General features: G+C 37.5%; 1 pseudogene; it reads left to right on the plus strand.

Moving 5' to 3' along the window:
* On the plus strand, positions 1,248-2,674 carry RPL4P2 (ribosomal protein L4 pseudogene 2; annotated as a pseudogene).

Consider the following 20,004-nt stretch of genomic DNA (forward strand, 5'->3'; position numbering starts at 1 on the left):
AAAGTCAAAGACAACAAGGGAATTCTAAAATTTATCACAAGGGAAAGATGTCAAGTCCCATATGAGGGAATCATTATTAGACTAACATCAGATTTTTCAGCAGAAATCTTAAAGATGAGGAGAGAATGAGATGATATTTTCAAAGTGCTAAAAGAGAAACAGCAGCGAAGAATACTATACCCAGCAAAGATTGTCTTTGCTAGACAAGAAAAACAGGAAATTTGTCACCACTAGACTGGCCCCACAAGAAATGCTTAAGGGAGTCCTACATCTAGAAGTAAAAGGATGATGACTACCATCATAAAACATGCAAAAGTATAAAACTCAGTAGCAGGCATATACAGAAATTTGAAGAAAAAAAAAGGAGTCAACTTTTGTCACTGCAAACATACCGCCAAGCTATAAAAATAAACAATAAAAGAGGAAGAAACAAAGGATATGCAAGATAACCTGAAAACAACTAAGAAAATGACAGGAGTAAGTTCTCATGTATCAATAACCATCAATGAAAACTGATTAAATTCCCTAATTAAAAGATATAAACTGGCTGAATAGATAAAAAAGAAAGACCCAAATATATGCTGCCTAGAAGAAACTCACTTCATCTAAAAAGATATACACAGACCAAAAATGGAGGAATGGAAAAAGATATTCCACCCAAACAAAAATCAAAAATGAGCAGGGGTAGCTTTACTTATATCAGATAAAATAGACTTTAAGTAAAAAACTGAAAAAAGAGACAAAGATGTTATTACATAATGATAAAAGGATTTATTCAGCAGGAGGATATAACAATTATAAGTTTGTATCCATCCACACTGAAGCACACAGATATGTAAAGCAAATATTATTAGTTCTAAATGGAGAAATAAACTTCAATACAATAATACTTGGAGATTTTGACATTCCACTGTTAGCACTGGACAAATCATCTAGATAGAAAGTCAACAAAGCAATATCAGATTTAAACTGCCCTATAGACCAAATGAACCAAATAGACATTTACAAAACATTTTATCCAATACCTGCAGAACACACATTCCTCTCATCAATACAAGGTACATTCTTCATGAAAATCCATGTGTTAGACCACAAAGCAAGTGTCAAAAATTTTTTTTAATCAAAATCATATCAAGTATGTTTTCTGACAACATTAGTATAAAACTAGAAATCAATAACAAGAGTAATTTTGGAAACTGTACAAATACATAGAAATTAAACAACATAGACTTTAACAACAGGTAGTACTTTTCCTGTGGCAGCAGCTGGGCTGAGAGGAACATGGCTGTCTCCTCTCTCCACCATGGCATGTGCTCACCCACTGATATAGGTGTACTCCCAAAAGGGGGAGTCATCTGGCAAAAATGTTACTATGTCTGCTGTATTCAAGGCTCCTATTTGACTGGATATTGTGAACTTTGTTCACACCAACTTGCACAAAAACAACAGACAGCCCTACGTTGTCAGTGAATTAGCAGGTCGTCAGACCAGTGCTGAGTCTTGGGGTACTGGCAGAGCTGTGGCTCACATTCCCAGAGTTCGAGGTGGTGGGACTCACCGTTCTGGCCAGGGTGCTTTTGGAAACATGTGTCATGGAGGCTAAATGTTTGCACCAACCAAAACCTGGTGCCATTGGCATCACAGAGTGAACACAACCCAAAAACGATATGCCATCTGTTCTGCCCTGGCTGCCTCAGCCTTACCAGCGCTGGTCATGTCTAAAGATCATCATATTGAGGAAGTTCCTGAACTTTCTTTGGTAGTTGAAGATAAAGTTGAAGGCTACAAGATCAAGGAGGCTGTTTCGCTTCTTAAGAAACTTAAAGGCTGGAATGATATCAAAAAGGTCTATGCCTCTCAGCAAATGAGAGCTGGCAACAGCAAAATGAGAAATCGTCACTGTATCCAGTGCAGGGGCCCCTGCATCATCTATAATGAGGATAACGGTATCATCAAGGCCTTCAGAAACATCCCTGGAATTACTCTGCTTAATGTAAGCAAACTGAACATTTTGAAGCTTGCTCCTGGTGGGCATGTGGGACATTTCTGCATTTGGACCAAAAGTGCTTTCCAGAAGTTAGATGAATTGTATAGCACTTGGCATAAAGCTGCTTCCCTCAAGAGTAACTACAATCTTCCCATGCACAAGATGTTCAATACAGATCTTTAGCAGAATCTTGAAAAGCCCAGAGATCCAAAGAGCCCTTTGAGCACCATGCAAAAAGATTCATTGCAGAGTCCTAAAGAAGAACCCACTGAAAAACCTGAGAATCATGTTGAAGCTAAACCCATATGCAAAGACCATGCACGCGTCAGAACACCATTCTTCACCAGGCCAGGAATCACAAGCTCTGAGTGGATAAGGCAGCAGCAACAGCTGCAGCACTAGAAGCCAAATCGGATGAGAAGGGGGTTGCAGGCAAGAAGCCTGTGGTAGGTAAGAAAGGAAAGAAGGCTGCTGTTGGTGTTAAGAAGCAGAAGAAGCTTCTGGTAGAAAAAAGGGGCAGCAGCTACCAAGAAACCAGCCCCTGGAAAGAAGCCAGCAGAAAAGAAACCTACTACAGAGGAAAAGAAGCCTGCTGCATAAACTCTTAAATTTGATTATTCCATAAAGGTCAAATCATTTTGGACAGCTTCTTTTGAATAAAGACCTGATCAAAGAGGCAGTGAGAAAAAAAAAGGTAGGTAAATAAATTAAAAAGAAAATCCAAAAATGTATTGAAACAAGTGAAAATAGAAACACAATATACTAAAACATATGGGATACAGCAAAAGCAGTTATTCTAAGAGGGAAGTTTATAGCAGTAAACACCTACATGAAAAATATATATTTCAAATAAACAATCTAACTATGTATCTCAAGGATCCAGAAATGCAAAAACAGACAGAATCAAAAATTAGCAGAAGGAAATAAAGTATAAATATCAAGCCAGAAATAAACAATATAGAGACTAAAAATATGCAATCAACAAAATGAAGGGTTTTTTTCAAAGATAAACGAAATTGACAAACCATTAACTACATTGATGAAGAAAAAAGATACAAGACCAAAATAAATAAAATCAAAAGTGAAAAAGGATACATTACAGCTGATACCACAGAAATATAAAGAATTATTAGAGATTATTACAAATAACTATATGCCAACAAATTGGAAAAGCTAGAGGAAATGGATAAATTCCTGGGCATGTGTAACCTACCAAAATTGAATTAGGAAGAAATAGAAAACCTGAACAGACCAATAACAAACAATAAGATTGAATCAGTAATAAAAAGCCTCCAAACAAATAAAAGCCCAAGACCTGATTACTTCACTGATGATGTCCATCAAAATTTTAAAGAACTAACACTAATTCTTCTCAGACTATTCCAAAAACTTGAAAAGCAGGGAATTCTTCTAAATTCATTGTTCCAGGCCCGCGTTATTCTGATACTAAAACCAGATAAAAACACAGAAAGAAAACACAGGTCAATATCCCTGATGAACATAGATGAAACATCCTCAACAAAATACTAGCAAGCTGAATCCAATGGCACATCAAAAATATTATATACCATGAACATACTGTGGGAATCAACAAATGACCTTTAACTAAATGGAAAGCCTAGCAGTTACCATAGTGTCTGGTATACTTAGAAGTGCAATAATAATACTTTACTTTCTTTGTTAAGACCTCAGCTTGAATACAAAGAAATTTTCACAACCTACTCATCTGACAAAGGGCTAAGATCCAGAATCTACAATGAACTCAAACAAATTTACAAGAAAAAAACAAACAACCCCTTCAAAAAGTGGGCAAATGACATGAACAGACACTTCTCAAAAGAAGACATTTATGCAGCCAAAAGACACATGAAAAAATGCTCATCATCACTGGCCATCAGAGAAATGCAAATCAAAACCACAATGAGATACCATCTCACATCAGTTAGAATGGCAATCATTAAAAAGTCAGGAAACAACAGGTGCTGGAGAGGATGTGGAGAAATAGGAACACTTTTACACTGTTGGTGGGACTGTAAACTAGTTCAACCACTGTGGAAGTCACTGTGGTGATTCCTCAGGGATCTAGAACTAGAGATACCATGGGACCCAGCCATCCCATTACAGGGTATATACCCAAAGGATTATAAATCATGCTGCTATAAAGACACATGCACACATATGTTTATTGCGGCACTATTCACAATAGCAAAGACTTGGAACCAAGCCAAATGTCCAACAATGATAGACTGGATTAAGAAAATGTGTCACATATACACCATGGAATACTATGCAGCCATAAAAAATGTTGAGTTCATGTCCTTTGTAGGGACATGGATGAAATTGGAAATCATCATTCTCAGTAAACTATCGCAAGGACAAAAAACCAAACACCGCATGTTCTCACTCATAGGTGGGAATTGAACAATGAGAACACATGGACACAGGAAGGGGAACATCACACTCTGGGGACTGTTGTGGGATGGGGGGAGGGGGGAGGGATAGCATTAGGAGATATACCTAATGCTAAATGACGAGTTAATGGGTGCAGCACACCAGCATGGCGCATGTACACATACGTAACTAACCTGCACATTGTGCACATGTACCCTAAAACTTAAAGTATAATAATAATAATTAAAAAAGTGATCTATCATTTACATGTTAGCATAAAGAATAATATGACCATATGGTGTACTAGAAGGAATTATTATTAAAGAAAGAGGGATACAAGAAGGGGGCACTAAGAACAAACTATTCATATGTGTCCTTGCTCTATTAGAGTGTTGTAGCAGCCAGCAGACATCAGAGCCTGTCTTCAGTGTCTGCCTGCATCCCAGCCATTTAGTTTGCTAAATATCATTGGGTAGACGTTTTTTATACATCAAAGGCTCATAAGGGTCCTGACGTTTATACTACTCAAGGTAATGGATTGTCCCTATGGCTTCTATATGTTTCTGGGCTCCAGCTGGCTGGTGCAGGAACAGTTGGCCTGCACAGTGCAGGAGCTGCCCTCATTTGTGTGCTTTTCTAGGTCTGTACAAACCCAATGACTGAAAGCCTCAACCAGTGGCTTTTCAGAAAGGGGAAAGATCAACATAATTGAACACACACACACACACACACACACACACACACACACACACTCACACACAAATATACATATATAATGCTCATAATGTGTGTATAAATACACACATTATGGTTAAGTATATCTTAATTTCTAATGCATAAGTGAAAGAGGATCTGTAGAGATTAATAAAAGGCTCTGGGTTATAAAAATTAATAGGATCTAGAGATTTGTTTTTCTAACAACTTGTAGACTGAGCTAAGATGAGTAATCATTCACTCCCTTCAAAAAAAATGAGAATAAAAAGTGAATTCAAATAAAGATGAGAAATTTCTGGTCCAGAAATGAAGAGGGAACTTAAAGCCAGAGCAGCCCATTCAAGACCCAATGTCAAGAAGACCAGAGGAGATATTGGGCTGAACAGATCCTATAGACCATGGGTTGGAGCTTTACACCAAGCTAGATGCAAGTACCACATGAGATAAAGATGTCAGAGTATAACCCCTGCATAAATCCAGAGTATTAAGAAAGCTAACCTCTGAGTAAAAAAGCGACTAGAATAATTTTGCCCTGAGCCCTAAAGAAGCATCAGAGGAGGCCTATGTTTTCTTAGGACTCTGAGTGATAGGCTTCCATGAAAGACAGAAACACCAGGCATATGGCACACATGGGTTTGGAGTTCAAATTTATACCATGCGCATGTTGAATAAATTCCTAAAACAAAAACTTAAAAGACCATAAACATGCTAGAGTACCTAGCAAAAGCAGATGTAAAACTGCTCTTCTATACTTCAGGTTGCAGTATAGACTCCCACAGGTAAGGAAAAAATAATTACTGAAGATGAGATCATAACAAAAAATTACAAATCATATACATGAAAATGATACAAAATGAGACAGTATCAGCAGTCACACACAAAAAAAAAACCTGATGAATAGCTCTCCACATATTGGGTTAACAGACCAATCTCTAATGCAAGAAAATGGAATAAAAAGAGCAATCTCAAAGAATATATAAAGTTTTAAATTATTAAAGATATAGAAGAAACCTAAGTCATAAGGAAATGACTGTGAAAAAAAGAATTTCCATATATGAAAAAGATAGTCATAAAAATTAGACTAAATGTAGCTGAAAAAAGATATAGAGGACTGGAAGATACATCAGTGGAGATTATACAGAATGAAACAAATAGAGATAAAATGATGAAAAATACTTTTTATAAGATGTTAGCATTTAAATACACACACCAGTGTCACTATAAAGCAACGACGCAAACAAGCCAACATAATAACCAGCTAACAACACAATGACAGGATCAAATCCACACATATCAATACTAATCTTGAACATAAATAGACTAAATGCCCTCACTTAAAAGGCACAGAGTGGCAAGCTGGATAAAAAAAAAGCAAGACCCAATGGTATGCTGTCTTCAAGAGACTCATCTCACATGCAATAACACATATAGGCTCAGAATAAAGGGATGGAGGAAAAGCTACCAAGCAAATGGAAAACAGAAAAAACCAGGGTTAGCAATCCTAATTTCAGAAAAAACAGACTTCGAACCAACAAATATCAACAAAGACAAAGAAGGGCATTACATAATGGTAAAAGATTCAACTCAACAAGAAGACCAACTATCCTAAATACATATGCCCCCAACATAGGAACACCCAGATTCATAAAGCAACTTCTTAGAGACATACAAAGAGACAATGACTCCCATGCAGTAATAGTGGGAGAATTCAACACTCCACTGACAGTATTAGACAGATCACTGAGGCAGAAAATTAACAAAGATATTCAGGACCTGAACTCAACATAGGACCAAACAGATCTAATAGACCTCTACATAACTCTCCATCCGAAAACAATAGAATATACATTATTCTCATCACCACATGGCACATACTCTAAAATTGATCACATAATTGGACATAAAACAATCCTCAGCAAATACAAAAGAACTGGAATCATACCAAACACACTCTCAGACCACAGCACAATAAAAATAGAAGTGAAGGCTAAGAAAATTGCTCAAAACCATACAATTACATGGAAATATAAACAACATGCTCATGCACGACTTTTGGGTAAATAATGAAATTAAGGCAGAAGTCAAGAAGTTCTTTGAAACTAATGAGAACAAAGATAAAACATACCAGAATATCTGGAACACAGATAAGGCAGTGTTGAGAGGGAAATTCATAGCACTAAATGCCCATATCGAAAAGTTAGAAAGATCTCCAACTAACAACCTAACATCACAACTGAAAGCATTGGAAAATCAAGAACCAATCAACTCCAGAGCTAGCAAAAGAAAAGAAATAAACAAAATCAGGGCTAAACTGAATGAAGGAGATTGAGACGCGAAAAACCATTCAAAAGATCAACGAATCCAGTTTTTTTTTTGAAAAAAATAATAAGCTGCTAGCTAGCCTACTGAAGAAGAAAAGAGAGAAGATCCAAAAAATCACAATTAGAAATGACAAAGGGAGTGTTACCATTGACCCCACAGAAATAAAAATAACCAAGAGAAATAAATACAAATACTTCTATGCACACAAAATAGAAAACCTAGCAGTGATGGCTACATTCCTGGACATATCCACCCTTTCAAAACTGAACTAGGAAGAAACTAATTCCCTGAACAGACCCCTATAATGAGCTCTGAAAATGTAACAGTAATAAATAGCCCATGAACCAAAAAAGTTGAGGACCTGACTGATTCACACCCAAATTCTACCAGATATACAAAGAAGAGCTGGTACCACTCCTATTGAAACTATTCCCAAAAACTGAGGAGAAGAGATTCTAACCCAACTCATTCTGCATCATACTGATACCAAAACCTAGCAGAGACACAACAATAAAAGAAAACTTCAAGTCAATATCCTTGATGAATATCGATGTAAAAGTCTTCAACAAATACTTGCAAACTGAATCCAGCAGCACATCAAAAAGCTAATCTACCACAATTGAGTAGGCTTCATCCTCAGGACACAGGTTAGTTCAACATATTCAAATCAATAAATGTGATTCATCACATAAACAGAACTAAAGGTAAATACCATGTGATTATCTCAATGGACACAGAAAAAGCTTTCAATAAAATTCAACACCGCTTCATGTTAAAAACTCCCAATAAACTAGGTATTGAAGGAAGATGCCTCAAAATAATAAGAGCCATCTATGACAAACCCACCGCCAACATTATACTGAATGGGCAAAAGCTGGAAGCATTCTCCTTGAAAATCTGGCACAAGACAAGGATACCCTCTCTCCACTCCTATTCAACAGAGTATTGGAAGTCTTCGCCAGAGCAATCAGGCAAGAGAAATAAATAAAGGGAATCCAAATAGGAAGACAGGAAGTCAAACCATCTTTGCTTGCAAGACAACATGATTCTATATCTAGAAAACCATAGTATCACCCCAAAAACTTCTTCACCTGATAAACAACTTCAACAAAGTTTTAGGATACAAAATCAATGTACAAAAATCACTGGCTTTCCTATACACCAAAAACAGCCAAGCCAAGAGCCAAATCAGAAAGATAATCACATTCACAATTGCCTCAAAAAGAATAAAATACCTAGGAATACAGATAACCAGGGAGGTGAAAGATCTTTACAATGCAAATTACAAAACACTGCTCAAATAAATCAGAGAAGACACAAACAAATGGAAAAACATCCCATGATCATGAATAGGAAGAACTGATATCATTAAAATGGCCATATTGTCCAAAGCAATTTACAGATTCAATGCTATTCCTATGAAACTACCAACAACTTTCTTCACAGAACTAAAAAAACTATTTTAAAATTCATATGGAACCAAAATAGAGCCCAAATAGCCAAGACAATCCTAAGCAAAAAGAACAAAGCTGAACACATCATGTTACCCAACTTCAAACTATACTACAGGGCTATAGTAACCAAAATAGCGTAGTACTGGTACAAAAGCAGACACACAGACCAATGGAACAGAATGGGGAGCCCAGAAATAAGGCTGCACACCTATGACCATCTTATCTACAACAAAGCTGACAAAAACAAGCAATGGGGAAAAAAATCCCTATTTAATAAATGGTGCTGGGATAACTGGCTAGCCACATACAGAAAAATGAAGCTGGATACCTTCCTTGCATCATATACAAAAATCAACTCAAGATGGATTAAAGACTTCAACGTAAAATACAAAACTATAAAAACCCTGGAAGACAATCTAGGCAATACCATCTACACATAAGGACAGGCAAAGATTTTGTGACAAAGACACCAAAAGCAATTGCAACAAAAGCAAAAATTGACAATTAATTAAACTTAAGAGCTTCTGCACAGCAAAAGAAACTATCTATAGAGTAAACACACAGCCTACAGAATGTGACAAAATGTTTTCAAAGTATGTAAATGACAAAGGTCTAAAATCCAGCATCTATAAGGAACATAAGTTTACAAGAGAAAAACAACCCCATTAAAAAGTAGGCAAAGGATATGAACAGACCCTTTTCAAAAGAAAACATGCATGTGGTCAAAAAGCATATGAAAAACAGCTCGATATCACTGATCATTAGAAAAATGCAAATCAGGCTGGGTGTGATGGTTCACACCTGTAATCCCAGCACTTTGGGAGGCCAAGGCAGGCAGATCACCTGAGGTCAGAAGTTCAAGACCAGCCTGACCAACATGAAGAAACCCCTTCTCTACTAAAAATACAAAAAAAAGTTGGCCAGGCATGGTGGCACATGCCTGTAATCCCAGCTACTCGGGAAGCTGAAGAAGGAGAATCACTTGAACCCGGGAGGCGGAAGTTGCAGTGAGCCGAGATCACGCCATTGCACTCCAGCCTGGGCAATAACAGTGAAACTCCCATCTCAAAAAAAAAAAAAAAAAAGAAAGAAAGAAAGAAAGAAAGAAAAATGCAAATCAAAACCACAATGAGATACCATTTTACACCAGTCAGAATGGCTATTACTAAAAAGTTAAAAAAAACAACAGATGCTGGCAAGGTTGCAAAGTAAAGGGAACACTTAAGCACTGTTGGTGGGAGTTTAAATTAGTTCAACCATTGTGGAAAATTGTATGGTGATTCCTCAAAAAGCTAAAAGCAGAACTACTGTTTTACATGGCAATCCCATTATTGGGTAAATATCCAGAGGAATATAAATCATTTTACCATAAAGATACATGCACACAAATGTTCATTGCAGCACTATTCACAATAGCAAAGACATGGAATCAACCTAAATGCCCAGCAGGGAAAGAGTGGATAAAGAAAATGTGGTACATGTACACCATGGAATACTATGCAGCCATAAAGAACAGGATCATGTCTTTTTCAGGAACATGGATGGAGCTAGAGACCATTGCCCTTAGCATACTAATGCAGGAACAGAAAACCATATGTACACATGCACAGGAAGAATACACACCACTTCCAGGAGAGCAGTCAACTTTGGGGCAAACAAGAAGGGAGTGAGATGGAGGAGACGGAGCATTAGCTGTGCTTGTAATGCTCTATGCCTTCAAGAATGTTAAAGCAAACACAGCAAAATGACAGTATATGTTAAATCTAGCTGCTGTACACAAATGTCTCATATCAATGCTTCCCAATCATTTTTACTTTGTAGCACATCATTAAATGTAATAAAATGTTTATGACACAATGAGTCAACATATGAAGCTGCTGAAAGTTTAATGCGACTGGCCAGCAAGTCAGCAGTCCCAAGGACACTTCTTGCCACCACCATGGACTGAGGAATTCATAATATCTCAGCACACCAATCACCTATTTGTCAGTCCTCAGTGACCTTCTGTACACAGTTGGGAAGCCCTGCTTTATAGTATTTTTTACACTTTTCTCTATGTTTGAGCTAGTAAAAAGCTAACCAGACAAGAAGATATGTTTCTCAGAGTTCTCAGCAGAAGATTCCCAACAAAATAGGTTGGACAGAAGTGGATGATAGTAAAATTTCTTCCTAAGCAGGATAAAGCTAGAGCTGTGTGGTTTGTGCTCCTCAAAGCCTTCACGGCGGAAGCAGTGGAGTGAGTTTGAGCTGAACTGAGTCTGTGTGGAAGCAAGTTGCTGTGGTAATGTGTGTGACAGTGCAGGGGGCCACAGATGAAGAAGCCAGAGTGGGACCTAGGGGATGTGTTCTAGTGGTAGGGACAAGTACGAAATGCCTGAGCTCTGGATGCAAAAACTTGGAGCTGGCTTTGCTTTTTTGATTGCATTTTTTAAATTGTAGTAAAATATACAAAACATAAAATCTACTACTTTAACGATTTTCATGTGCACAGTTCTGTGACATTAAGTACATTTACATTATGCAACCATAATCACCATCCATCTCCAGAACTTTCTTATCTTCCCCAACTAAAACTCTGTACGGATTAAATAATAATGCCCCATTCCTTCCTCCCCGCCCAGCCCTGGCAACCATTATTCTACTTTCTGTGTCCATGAATTTGACTAGAGTGAAATCATGCATAGCTGTTCTTTTGTGACTGGCTTATGTCATTTACCATAATGTCTTCAAGGTTTATCCATGTTGTAGAATGAGCCAGAATTTTCTTCCTTTTTAAGGCTGAATAATATTCCATTATATGTATATACCACATTTTGTTTATTCATTCATCCATTGATGGACACTTGGGTTGCTTTTATGTTTTGGCTATTGCGAATAATGCTGTTATGTACATGTATTTGTTTGAGATCATGCTTTCCATTATTTTGGGTACATACTCAGGAGTAGAATTGCTGGCTCATGTGGCAATTCTGTTTTGGGGGTTTGGAGTTTTTTTCAAGAACTGACTGCTTTAATGCATTTTTAACAGGCCTGTTAAATAAGGTTTATTTCCCATGCAGTAACATAAAGTGGTAAATCATAGTACTAGTGTGGGGAAATTTGACTAGAAAGCCTACTAACTACTTTGTTTTGGAAGCACTAAATACTGACTCACTCTTTTTAGACATCAGAAGCCATCTCGTATTATCATTCCTTGCAATCCTTTTTCTCTAGTCTCATTTATTCCATCTTGATAATATAGATGAGTGACATGGACTCAATGTAAGAATCTCATCTTACAAGGAGAGATGGACATGTAAAAAAAAATTGAAATACAGGGAAAATTTTAAACATAGTGAAATAAAATGTACCTCAGATAGAGTGGTAGCACAGAAGAAAGTGCTGAGTGGGTGATTGAAGAGAAAATTTTCCTAAATGAGGAGGCACAAGTGGTGGTGGTGGTGGTGGTGAACTGGGGCCAGAGAGAAGAAATCAGGATAACACAGTATGCATGTCAACAGTTCTCAAACAAATCTGAGCTATCAAACTTAATATTTCTTTGAAAACTCCCGGTAAAATTAAATGCTTACTTTATAGCATATTATTTTACCTAATATGAACCTTTAACTCACTCTTGCTATGTGAAATTAATGAAAATGACTCAATTTTTTAAATGTTGGGGATGGGCATGGTGGCTCATGCCTGTAATCCCAGCACTGTGGGAGGCCGAGGTGGGTGAATCACCTGAAATCAATCCAAGACCAGCCTGGCCAACATGGTGAAAACCCATCTCTACTAAAAATATAAAAAGAAATTAGCCAGGCATGGAGGTGCACACCTGTATTCCCAGCTACTCAGGAGGCTGAGGCAGGAGAATCACTTGAACACAGGAGGCAGAGGTTGCAGTGAGCTGAGAAGTACCATTGCACTCCAGCCTGGGCGACAGAGCGAGACGCCGTCTCAAAAAAAAAAAAAAATGTTGATAGCATGCTAATTTCTATAACTGTAGCCAATTTATGAAAGCCAAGCCTAGAAGAAAGAAAAACAAGGAGGAGTCTTTATATATGAACCATCACAAAAAGGTAAACTTTATCCAGGAGACAGCACAAGAGACAGCACATTCACTCTTCCAGTTCCAGGAATATAGAAGTGCTTTTTTCTGTGACACAGGACATCAGAGTCACATTTGACTTTTCTTCTTACTTAAGGTTAGTTTTATTGTGTTTCATACATTCAAAACAAAAGTTTTGTGAATGCTTTAGGAATGATATGATCTCAGTTACAATTATATAGCTATCTCCTTTTATTCCATACCTACTTATAAAAGAGAAGTGCAGATGTGAGAAGTGATCTGCCATTTAAATAGTACCCTTTCCTCCTCCCCCAGAAACATAGTAATAGAGATCCTGTTACCTGTATATGAGCTTAAAAGATAGACTTAGATATGGTCCATCAAAAACATATCTGAGAATACAAGAAAATAAAGGCAGTTTCACAGGAACAAGAAAAACATGATTTGAAAATATCAGTAAATTGAATAAATCTGTGACGTTGTCTACCACCTACAGCTTCCAATGCACAGAACAGAAATATGCTAAAAGAAAGCACCAAATTAGAGGCCTACAACAATGGAATGCTGAGTTTACATTTTTTTTTTTTTTGTAAAACTAGAGAATATCAAAGAATTCTGTGCTTTTGGATCGTTTTATGTTTGTTTTTATATTTTTAACTTTATCTATTGCTTTTGTGATGAGGTTCTTCTCCATTAAAAAAGTGTCATTCTGCTGCTGATGGCATAAGGTTTCACTAATTAAGGGAGTTTCTATTACATTGTATTATTATAAATGCTTTTTATCTACAGAACCAGTGCAGATTAGAGGGAGATTAGAGGGTGACTATTCAGGTACTTGTACTTCTCAATAGTTACAGTGAATGCTTGTTAGCATCTTTAAATATTTCCAAGCAAAATAATCTGGATAGAACTGTACCTTACCAATATTCCAGCCCTTACCTGCTTGTTTGCTTGTTTTTCCATATACCATGAAATTTGGGAGCAACATATGGCCTTAGTGGCCGTCCTTTTTGTTACAGATTAGGACACAGAACCAAAGAGGCTAACTGGTTTGCATTAAATACAGAGCCAGTTGAAGGCAGCACCAGGATGGAAACCTAAGTTCCCTGGCTCTCTGGCCAATGCTCTACTTACCACGTGATGATTTCTTTCCTTATGGGTTTCCACTTGACTTAGACATAATACAAAGTTGTTTTTTTATTTTCACAGTACAGGCCAGAGTGGGGGAAGAAAGGAATTAATGAGTTGATAAAGCCCTGAGGATGCATGTTCTTCTGTAGTTTATAAAGAGCCAAGAGAGAAATTTGAGTATGGCAAGAGAAAGGGAAAGTGATAATCAATTTACTACCTGGCAATTTTAAATATATGGCATTTCGTCTCTTAATATGTCAGAAGTTTCAATGAGTTTATGGTCATATTTTTCTGTAGCCCATACAGTGGAGCTTGATCTTGACATTATTTGCTGAGGCAGGATGATCTCCCATCTAAGAAAATTTGTCATTAAAGAATCAAATGATCTCAATATGGAGCTGTAAACATCTTCATTGTAGGACAATTTTGTGTTTCATGGATAGCACAACTGGGCAACCTTAGAGACAGTCCATGGACCTATGAACAGGTTTCAGGGAGTTCACAAATCTCTGATTTGTATGCAAAATCTTGTGTGCATAATGTATATGCGATTTTCTAATTAGAAGTTCCATGACTTCTACCAGCATTTCAAAGTTATTCATGGGCAAAGAGAAACAAGTTCAAGAATTACTGCTTTTAAAAAAGGACAGCAGTAAAATTTTACAATTCTATTGCATGCCGAAGTGTCCCACCTACTGAGTGTCAAAGCCAAGACTCTAAATCAAGTCTCCTAATGGCTATGAATGTCTTAGAGCAGGGAAGATATAATAATTTATTATCATAACAGGTCCAATATTGATTTGAAGTATGAGCCTGAGTTTTTAAAGAATGCAATAGCTATTAGATTCTGCTCTTTTAAATTCATTAATAAAGTATTATAATGACTTATTTAATGACAATGATTTATTTAATGCTTACTATGTTCAACAACTATTTACTTTTCTTAATCTAGTAAACATTTGTGTTTTCCTTTATGTGCAAGACCCTGGACTAATCAGGAATTCAACAGAGGCCTTTTACATAGTTCTTAGGAGTTTATGGTCTATTTTAAAAAACAATACATACACAATTTATGTAACAATACATGGAACACAAAACCAAATGTCAAATTAACATTTCTGTAAAACATACAAGAATGTTAAATAAATGTCTTGTTTAAAATTTCAAATGGAATAACATCCTTGTATTTTTACATTACCTGAGCCTGATCAAGATAAGAGGCTTTTAAAAAGTTCATTGCCTAAAAATTTTTTTAAACATCACTATAGGAAGAACAAAATAACCCGAGATTTAAAATGAATTTGGACAAAACCTGTGTTTGGAAAGAAGATTGTCATTTTGGGATACCCTGAAGGGAAATGGTATCCTCAGGAGGTCCTAATGGTTAGATGTGAACCCACCCAAGTTGCTTAAAACATATGCAAATGGCTATGTCCCGTATGATGACCACGATGGGGCTAAAGCCCCTTATGCATGGAGCTCAAAAAAGCTCAAGAACACTGTCAGGAAGGATCACTAGGAAGCAGAGAACATGGACAGTTGGTCCATAGTGTCATCTGCAAAGCTATAGCTCTTAGGAAAAAAAAAAGCGAGTAGTAATGACCAGCTTTTCCTAAGAACACTAATACTAGCTTAGATTTGATATGCCTTGTAATAAGGTATTATAAGATTTGATGAACACACACTTCTCAAAAAAGACATTTATGCAGCCAACAGACACATGAAAAAATGCTCATCATCACTGGCCATCAGAGAAATGCAAATCAAAACCACAATGAGATACCATCTCACACCAATTAGAATGGCAATCATTAAAAAGACAGGAAACAACAGGTGCTGGAGAGGATGTGGAGAAATAGGAACACTTTTACACTATTGGTGGGACTGTAAACTAGTTCAACCATTGTGGAAGACAGTGTGGCGATTCCTCAAGGGTCTAGAACCAGAAATACCATTTGATCCAGCCATCTCACTACTGGGTATGTACCCAAAGCATTATAAATCATGCTGCTATAAAGACACATGCACACGTATGTTTATTGCGGCACTATTCACAATAGCAAAGAATTGGAACCAACCCAAATGTCCATCAATGATAGATGGGATTAAGAAAATGTGGCACATATACACCATGGAATACTATGCAGGCATAAAAAGGATGAGTTCATGTCCTTTGTAGGGACATGGATGAAGCTGGAAACCATCATTCTGAGCAAACTATCGCAAGAACAGAAAACCAGACACCGCATGTTCTCACTCATAGGTGGAAATTGAACAATGAGAACACTTGGACACAGGGTGGGGAACATCACACACCAGGGCCTGTCATGGGGTGGGGGGAGGGGGGAGGGATAGCATTAGGAGAAATACATAATGTAAATGATGGGTCAGTGGGTGCAGCACACCAACATGGCACATGTATACATATGTAACAAACCTGCACGTTGTGCACAAGTACCCTAGAACTTAAAGTATAATAATAAAAAAAGAGAAAAAAAAGGAAAAAAAAAAAAGATCTGATGGAGCCTGACTATGGGGTAATGATAAAGGATAGAAAGTGCTGCATCCATTCCTGCCAAGCCATAGTAAAACACAAAACGTTCCAAGGAATATGAGGATCAGGATATAAGAACCAAATCAAACAGATTGTACCAAATGAGATAGAGTATAAAGGTTTAAGGAAAAGAGTGGGATGAGCCTTTTGATGGTAGGCTGAAATAAAACAATCCATTCACTGTGACATTATAATGGCCCAGAGTTAACAAAGTGAACCAGTTTCTGACAGCACTGTTAATGCTAACTAGCTAGCATCAATGAGTTGATAAAGTCCTGAGGATGTATTTTCTAACTAGTTAGCACCAACAGGTAAGATTCATCCATGCCACTCATTCATTCTATAAACATTCAATTCTTGACAATAATTTCTAAATCTGAATCATTTCTACAAAAAAAAATTGAAAATTCTTACAAGATTTTTCTTTTAGCAAGGTAAAATTTAAGCATCTTCCTAAGATTGCAATAGATCTGTACAAAATCTTTATCCCTTTCAGTTCGTTGAGAAGATGATGTTAGGAGAAGAGTTTATATAAGCTGAAGTTAATAAAACTTACCACCACTTAGGAAATGCTGATGTCCCAACTAAGCTACCTGACAATGGAATCTGATTTTTATCCCCATAGGAGCAATTGATCTTCTGAAACAAAAGACCATGAAAGTGAAAAGCATTGCAGAGATTGGAGTTGGGGTCAGTGGACTGGCTGCCACTAAGCGCTGTCTGGAGGAAAGACTTCAGCCCATTTGCTTTGAAGAAAAAGTAGCATTGGAGGAATCTGAATATATGAGGTAAGTTTGGGTGACTTCCAAATCTCTCACCTGGGAAAGCCACACCTGTGGTTCACCCACTCTACCCTAATAGCAGCACTGGACATTCTTATTTCTCAAACAAGCTACTACCATGCTTTCAACAAATGCTTACCAATCTTCTCCTATGTCAGGCACTTATATATATAACATATTGTAACATATATATAGGAGTTTACAGTAAACAAAGTATGTAATATAACATATATGTTATAACTGTAAACAAAACAGACAAAAATATCTGCCCTCATAAAAGAGATAAGCAATAAACAAGATAAGATAAATATTAATACATAAAATGTGTTGTATATTAGATGATGATAGTTGTTAGGAAGAAAAAATAAAGTCCACAAGAGGGATATAAAATGTGGTGCAGTGTAGGATTTAATGATTAGGTAGCCAGAAAAGCCTCACAAGAAGGTGATTTTTCAGTAAAAACCAGGAGGAAGGAATGGGCATGCAGATGTCTGCAGGGAGAGAACTGAAGCAATTTGAACAACATACAGAAGGATGGCTAGTATGCTTGAGGGACAGCAAAGAGGTCAGTGGAGCTGGAGAGGAGGAAATGGTGGGGCAAACAATAGATGATATCAGAGAAGGAGCAAACAGCCAGATGGGAAGCCACTGGAACATTGTGAGCAAACCAGAGACATAATTCAAAAGGATTTCTGTGACTGCTGTGCTGAAAATATATGACGATGGATAAAGGCAAAACTGGGGAGATAAGTTCGGAGGCGTTTGCAACAACCTGGGCAAGAGATGATGGTGGCTTGGATCTCGCTAGTGGTAGTAGACTGGTGAGAAGTGACTGGATTGTGGATACATCCTAAGGACAGATCCTGCAAGATAGAGAAGACTGCAGGAGAAATTGGTTTGTTTGGTAGGGCGAGAGGAAGGAGGAATTTGGGATGCCATGGTGATTCTGTCTGCACCCTGCCCTTATTCTCTAGCCTGGACCTCTTCAGCATGTGCTGCCCACTTCCAATTGCCAGAATTTGCATCACTTGCCTGTGGGCTTTCCTCAAAGCTACTCTGCTCACAGGAATAAACCAAAAATGCCTGGGAGCCTGGGATCAAGCTTCAAACAGCAACCGACAGGATTTGGCGTATATGATTATTCCATCCTCCCTGAGGAGTTTAACTCTGAGGTCTGTGTTCTACAGCATTTCCTTGAGTTTCCCCACAGAATGAAGCCCCAGTCAGCCCCAAGTAGCTGATTTGATAATGCATTCCTTTGGTCTTTCATTCCTTGTCTTGCTCTCCCACTCACCTACTGAGATATCTTCTATCTTCCAAGAAAAAAAAAAAAAAAGAATAGGTATTGGCATTAAATCCTTGTTTTAGGGTCTGCTTCTGAGAGAACCAAAATAAAACCAAGTGAAAATTTTAAGTAGGCAATTGAAGACATATTTATGGAGTTCAAAGGGGAGCTCCCAGATAGAGATAAAAATTTAAAGACGTCAGAGTATAAATGTTATGTAAAGTTGTAAAAGCAGATGAGATTGCCCAAGGAGTGGGTGTAGTTAGAAGAGACCAAGGAAAGAGTCCTGGAGAACTGCAACATTTAGAGGTCTCCAAGATGAAGACGAACCATAAAGAAACTCAGGAAGTGCAATGAGAAAGAGAAAAGGAAAACCAGGCAAGTGGAGTGTCCTGGAAGCCAAAAGAAAGGAGTCATCATCTAGGGGAAAACTGCAGATATGTCAATTAAGACGAGGATTTACAAAATCCCATAGGATCAGCAGCTAGCTTGGAGGTCACTGACCTCAGAAAGAGCAATTTCATAAAGTTGTGGGGTAAAAACCTGATTAGAATAGATTCAAGAGATAAAGAGAGATGAGAAAATAGAGACAGCAAGTATAGACAATCCTTTAAAGAAGTTTTACTGTAAAATGAGGTAGGTAGAGGCTGAAGATTCAGGGAGAAGTGGAGGTAAGAGTTTTTTCTAAGATGAGAAAAATGACAGCATGTTTTTATGTTGATAAGAATGATCTCATTGAAAGGGGAAAGATAAGCTGGAAATTTTAAAAATTAAATTAAATTTAAAAAGAAAGGGGAAAGTTGATAATGCAAGTTGGGGAGGGGGATAGAATTGCCGATGTGATGTCCTTAAATAGGTGAGAAAAAGTGTGATCTATGACTCAGATGAAGACATTGGCTTTGGTTAGGAACCTTAGTAACAGAAGAGTGAAATATATGGGCACAGATGCAGCTAGCTGAGTAGACGAGATGGCGAGAGCTTTTGGAAGTTCTCTTCTGATTGTTTCCATTTTTGGCAACATAGGAAGCAAGGTAGTGAGCTAAAGGTAAGCATGAGGAAGGAGATGCAGAGTTTGGAAGACAGAGAATGTATGAAATAGCCATTTGCAGAGTGGAATAAAAATGGTCTAGAGAAAGTTTGATTGATGGGCAACATTCGAGGCCCAGGAAACTGGCTCAATATTATAGCCATGGAAATATTTTAGCAGCTCTGCTGGGAGGTGGGATCTGGATAGGGCTTCCTAGGCTTTGAATATTCAGGCCTTTGGGTTTATGTGACCACTCCCTACCAACAGGGATCTTTTCACATACAAATATTTCTAGACAGACCCCTG

Source organism: Homo sapiens, chromosome 1, assembly GCF_000001405.40.
Source record: "Homo sapiens chromosome 1, GRCh38.p14 Primary Assembly".
Taxonomy (NCBI): Eukaryota; Metazoa; Chordata; class Mammalia; order Primates; family Hominidae; genus Homo; species Homo sapiens.